The following is a 6,000-nucleotide window of genomic DNA, read 5'->3' as shown; positions in this document are numbered from 1 at the left end:
CAGGTCTTTCTCACAATAAATAAATAAAGATAGCTAGATTTGATTGATTGGTGGATGGATGAAACGTGGGAGTTTATGGGCAAATATTTATCAGACACTGGAAGTGTAAGTTGTCACAAAGATTATGGAGTGCACCTGTCTTATGACCCTGTTATTTTATCCCAGTATATGCACTAGAGCATTTTTTGTAACTGTGTAAATTGAAGGCTTATAAATTAGTTTAGTGAGAGAAAAGATAACGGATTGGAAGAGAATTACCATATTCATTAGTTGTGTTTTTAAAATTTTAAAGTAAAATAGAGACATGATTTTTTTCATGCTTTCGAATGCATTTATAAAAAATAGACTTGAGGGCTGGGCGCAGTGGCTCACGCCTGTAATCCCAGCACTTTGGGAGGCCGAGGAGGGCGGATCACGAGGTCAAGAGTTCGAGACCAGCCTGACCAACATGGTGAAACCCCGTCTCTACTAAAAATACAAAAATTAGGTGAGTGTGGTGGCGCGCACCTGTAATCCCAGCTACTCAGGAGGCTGAGGCAGGAGAATCGCTTGAACCCGGGAAGCGGAGGTTGCAGTGAGCCGAGATCGCACCATTGCTCTCCAGCCTGGGTGACAGAGTGAGACTCCGTCTCAAAAAAAAAAAAAAAAAAAAAGTTACTCATTAATAGCATAGACCAATTGGCCTCTATTGAAATTTCTCCATTATTTTCACAATGTGCCAGGCTGTGAAACCAGGATTTAATAAAGAACCAGAATGCCACATCTGTGTCACCTGGGTAGGGACCAGTCCTGATCCATTAAGTCCGGGTCTCTGGGTAACTGGACTCACTGCTGGGCAAAACAGAATGTCCGGCTTGGGTTCCTAACCGGGGACCGCAGAGCCTCATGGGAAATGTAGTGTCACCTTCCAATGATGTTACCATCAAGGACCTTGGGAACCAGCTTTTCTCTCTGCGCATGCGCCGCCCCGCCCACTCCGCCATTTTCCTCCGGAAGTGCGGCACCCAGAGGCGGTCTTGTAGCTGGGCCAGCCTGGGGCTTGGTTCTATGTCCCTGCGGGTCGGTGCGAGGGCGAAGAGGAACCCGTGGGCCCGGGGGATCCCGGGGGGCCGGACCAGTGTTCCCCAGTTGTGGGAGCAGACGCGTGGGCGCATCGCGGGCGGGCAGGGCCTGAAGTGCAGGTGCAGGCCGCGGACCCTGGCGGGGGCTGGGAGGACAGGCGTGGGGTCCCGGCAGTGAAGCGGGTTCTAGAGGCGCAGGAGCGGGTAGGCGAGGCCGGTGGCCCTGGGCCCGGAGTCTGCAGGCCGCGCTCCTGTCCTGCCGCTGAGGGAGCCGGTTACCAACCCGCATGACGCTCAGTTTGCCCATCTGTCCCAGTGCGAACACACAGTTCTCGGGAGACGTTCCCCATTCCCAGAGGAGTAGTGCGAAACGCGTGCGCCTCGAGTCTTAAACTGGGCGTTTGTATTAGTTGGGTTTCCCGGTGTCTCTTTAGCAAGTGAAGTTTCTGGTTCCCTCCTTCACTGTGTGACCTGCCTAGTCCTCCTGGGTTGCGTTTACAGAAGTTTATACGAGACCTAGTTTCCAGGGAAGAACTCACTGATGCCGCGAGGGAGATGGGGTACTGGATGATGGTCTTCAGCCTTAAGGGTACTTCAGTCTTAACCGTGTGTTATAAGGTTTGAAAGGGAGGGTTCCCTATGAATAAGAAGCGCACTTGAAAGAACAGCCCTCTGGTCTAACCTCCCACTGGTGCTTCAGAGGAGGATAAAAGGTCACAGGTGAAGATCCCAGTTTTCCTCGCTCGGGAAATATTAATTCTACTCCCTAGAATGCACAAGATTTGCAAAGACTAGGTGACAGTGGTAGGTTTGGACGAACTTTCAGAAGGTTGAGGTGAATTCGGCTGAGAAGAACAGGCAAGGACCTAGGAAATATTCCTTATTTGAAGGGGCCTGAAAGTGTGGTCTGGGGTACAGGAGTGACCTGTCATACCTGAGAAGATTAAAATACTCTCCAAACACAGTCCCATTCCTTCAACCTTTCCTCGTTGTTTCCAGCGTTTGAGATATATTAAACCTAGTCCATCACCAAATTTAGCTTTAGCATTAGATTGTGAAGTTCTATCGATTGTATTTGATTTGTAATTTAAGACTTTCTCCCCCTACGTAATTTTGTTAAAAACATATTGAATTCTGTTCACTTAGGTGTAACAGTTAATACTTGCTGTTTAAGGAACTAATTAAACCTTACTGGCTTATAAAAAACAACCACCATTTTATTTGTTTGAAGTTCTGTGGATCTGCATTTTGGTGTGGTGGGTTCAGCTGGGTAGTTGATATATTTATGTTGCCTGGATCACAAAAGAGGCCTTGGTCACATGGTGGGTTGACTGAGCCTGGTTGGTTTAAGATAGTTTCCTTCACAATCTGGCGGTTTGTGGTGACTCTTGGCTAGGCCCTGTGTCTCCACCAGGGTAGCTCCAGACCTCCTCACAATATGACTGTGTCCAAAAAGGCAAGAACCAATGGATATTTGCATCACATTTTCCATTGTCCATTCACTGGACAAGTCAGATGGAAAAGCCCAATTTATTGTCAGAGCATAATATGAGGGCTTGGATACAGGGAAAGGTGTTATTGGGAAACATGAGTAGAATGGTGTACTGCAGGAAATACATATTATGTACATTTAAAAAAAAGTAATTGTAGGCCAAAATTGCTGGGTTGCAAGATGCACTTTCCATGATGTTCAGGTATAGAAAAGCAAGATGTACTGTCATGGGAACACTCATATGAAGTTATTTGTGGAATCCACATATTAATAGGAAAATAGTTAATACAGCCCAGTATATTTCTATAACATTTATTTTAGTGAACTTATAATGTTTCTTTGTATTAAATTATTAGATTGTATCTTTAGGTAATATTGTTGCTAAATTAGTAGGTAATACATATTTTTATTCAAAATAAATTGTGCATCTAATGTCTACCAATTAATGTACTTGTAGATGTATCTTATCTTGAGTCTTTGCTGCCCCTAATGAGGCTTGAAGGACTCTTCTCCCATGGGGAAGTTTTTCTTTTTCAGGAGGGAGGAGGGCTTTTCCAGGTAATGTGTCTAGAGTGTTGGGCAGAAGAATCTGGGACCACACCACACCAGTTCTCTCCTTAATTCACGTCATTTGCCTTCTCTCTCAGCTATGTTTCCAGTGTTCTCTGGCTGTTTCCAAGAGCTACAAGAAAAGAATAAATCTCTGGTGAGTTGTTTATTTGTTCTTCACTTTGTTTTACACTGTATTTTCTGAGTTTATGGGTGTCTGTGAATTAAAAAAGAAAAGTGGAAATAAGTAAAACTCAGGTTGAAGGAAATATACATAAATAAGATAAAGCTGACCTGTAGATATAGACAGGTTGTAAGAGCTTAGAGTTGTCTAAGTTGAGTGCAAATTTTCCTCTGATCTTTCTGATGCAGTGACAAAAAAGTCAGTCATGGTTGTTACGTGATTGGAATGGAACCCGCGAAGAGAGCATGCTGTGTTCTTGTGGGACAGGAAAGCTTGTGTGCACCAAGTCTGAACCACCACCTTCGGTGGTGACATAGGTTATGTGCTGGAACATATTTCACACCAGCCTGGCAGTAAATACTTGTAGTGTTGTGCAGTGGAAACGGTCATCTTCTGCTAAAGCACGGCATGTTGTGCAGTGGAAACGGTCGTCATCCGCTAAAGCACGGCGTGTTGTGCAGTGGAAATGGTCATCTGCCGCTAAAGCACGGTGTGTTGTGCAGTGGAAACGGTCATCGTCCGCTAAAGCACGGCATGTTGTGCAGTGGAAATGGTCATCTGCTGCTAAAGCATAGTGTGTTGTGTAGTGGAAATGGTCATCTGCCGCTAAAGCACAGTGTGTTGTGCAGTGGAAATGGTCATCTGCCGCTAAAGCACAGCTTCCATCATAAGGTATGCTCCTTGCTGTGGTGGAACATATTTCACACCAGCCTGGCAGTAAACACTTGTAGTGTTGTGCAGTGGAAACAGTCATCTTCCACTAAAGCACGGCCTGTTGTGCAGTGGAAATGGGCATCTGCTGCCAAAGCACAGCTTCCATTGTAAGGTATGCTCCTTGCTCAAAGAGTGTGGTCCCAAACAGCTTTTGGGAGGTGCTCCTTGATTCATGGATGAAACCTGGAACATCTTGAGAACTGAGTTAACCACAGGTCCTTAAATAACTCTCCACACCTTTATCTTAGTTTATCTCTACATGCAGGGTGTGCAGCAGCCTGTTCAAAGTTATATTTTCTGGGAAATACTTCCAGTGTTTATTTGCACTTTAGCCCACTCTGTGTAGTCCTAACTTATTTCTTCTAAACTCACCATTAACCTAAATAATAGTCAAATTTAGGGGGACTGTGATTGCCTTACTCGAGTCTTCTACCATAGTTGAAACTGTCGTATCCGAGCGAGTTAGAGAGAAACGCCACACTTTGAGACGAGTTCAGGAGTCCTTTATTAGCCAGCGACTGAGAGATGGCTAACGCACGAAATTCTCTCGGCCCCGGATAAGGGGCTAGCTTTTCTTTTATACTTTGGTTTAGAGAGGGGAGGGGGGATTCTAGCTGCAGCAACCTTACAGAAGAAAAAACAGACAAAAAAGTTAAAACGACAGATGGTTACAGGAAAACAAACTGTTCCAGGTGCAGGGGCTTTAAATTCACCACAAAGTGATAGGTGAGGGGGCTCTGGGCGTTAGCTGCCGGACAAATGTGCGGGCTTTATGATACTATCTCTGAGTAAATTGCTGGGAACTGCAGACATCACTTGCCTCAGCGCTTTATCAGTTAATTGCAGTCTTTGATATGTTGAAAGTCAGCTTGCACAAGTTAAAGTCCTTGAGGAAAGGGAGTGGGTAAGGAGCCCTTGATGTCTTATAAATGAAGGAGCCAAATGGAGTTTGTCCGGTTTTCTCAGCTAAGGGAGAGTCTATTCATATTAAAAACAAGGTTAGGTATCTAAGGACGAGTCTATTCATGTTAACACAACTTTGGGTATTACAAAATGTCTGTTCATGATCTGGAAATTCTTCTGTGTTAGTTCTGTTAAAAGAAAAACTTTAAAGGAGTTTAGTTGAGCAATAAACGATTCATGAATCGGAGAGTCCCCAGAAACACAGCAGATTCACAGAGACTCCAGCACAGTCATTTGGTGGAAGAAGATTTATAGACAAAAGGGAAGTGGCATACCGAAATCAGAAGTGAGGTACAGAAACAACTCAGCATTTGCCTTGTTTGAACACAGTTTGAACACTTGGCAGTGCCTGAGTGGTTGAAGTTTGGCCACTGGGATTGGCCAAGACGCAGCTGTTGTTCCAGGTGCATACTCTCAAGTTAGGTTTTCATTCTTGTCTACCTATTAAGGTAGGTTGCAGTTCATCCACAAGGACTCATATATAGAATTATGGAGTCCTTCTCAGGCCATACTTAGTTCACTTTAACAATTCCTTCCCTTTGGTTATTTTCTCAATTTTGAGAGATTGGCCAAAACTTCAGTCACTGGTGTCACTATTACCATTGCAAATGTACTTACTTGCTTTAGAAACCCACTGGGAAATAGACCAGTGAGTTTTGAAAAGGTGGACCAAGGACTTGAGTAGAAGGTACCTTCTTATGCTGGAACGTCCTGTTTACAGGAGAAAAACAAAACCTGGTTTGTTCTAGGATTTATGTGTTTCCTTAAAGTCTTAGTTTGATTATGTTACATTTAGCATGAGTAACTCCATTTTGGTTTGGTTTGGTCTGTTGGGACCTATTGCATGAGCTTAGTTTAAAACAATGGCCTCGCATAATTTTGCTTAAAAAATTCCTCCTTTTGGCTGGGCGTGGTGGCTCACACCTGTAATCCCAGCACTTTGGGAGGCCGAGGTGGGTGGATCACAAGGTCAGGAGATTGAGACCATCCTGGCTAATACGGTGAAACCCCGTCTCTACTAAAAATACAAAAATTAG

At 44.4% G+C, this 6,000-nt stretch overlaps 1 protein-coding gene across 21 annotated transcripts in view, besides 1 other annotated feature; it reads left to right on the top strand.

The window, feature by feature from the left end:
* Positions 754–903: an enhancer, noted in NCBI's record as "active region_20105". NCBI's record gives its function as "activates an Ori minimal core promoter by ATAC-STARR-seq in GM12878 lymphoblastoid cells {active_cell/tissue: GM12878}" and the evidence as "EXISTENCE:reporter gene assay evidence [ECO:0000049][PMID:35858748]".
* Positions 1,016–6,000, top strand: part of ZNF717 (zinc finger protein 717) — a 90,849-nt gene continuing 85,864 nt past the window's right edge. For 9 of the 21 annotated variants that reach the window (XR_007090409.1, XM_047447041.1, XM_011533251.2 and 6 more), the window contains exons 1-3: positions 1,016–1,059; positions 1,563–1,650; positions 3,201–3,259. Coding sequence is in view for 17 of the 21 variants with exons in the window: in XM_047447041.1 (XP_047302997.1) it covers positions 1,048–1,059; positions 1,563–1,650; positions 3,201–3,259 (159 nt within the window). In the remaining 4 variants the exon portion in view is untranslated. Of the gene's footprint in view, positions 1,182–1,560; positions 1,782–3,200; positions 3,260–6,000 lie in introns of those variants that run through there. The other 12 variants (NM_001290210.2, NM_001290208.3, NM_001324028.1 and 9 more) reach the window with 9 other exon arrangements.

The sequence above is a fragment of the Homo sapiens genome, chromosome 3 (genome assembly GCF_000001405.40).
Source record: "Homo sapiens chromosome 3, GRCh38.p14 Primary Assembly".
In the NCBI taxonomy this organism is placed as follows: Eukaryota; Metazoa; Chordata; class Mammalia; order Primates; family Hominidae; genus Homo; species Homo sapiens.
This window is presented reverse-complemented; position numbering and strand designations above follow the sequence as displayed.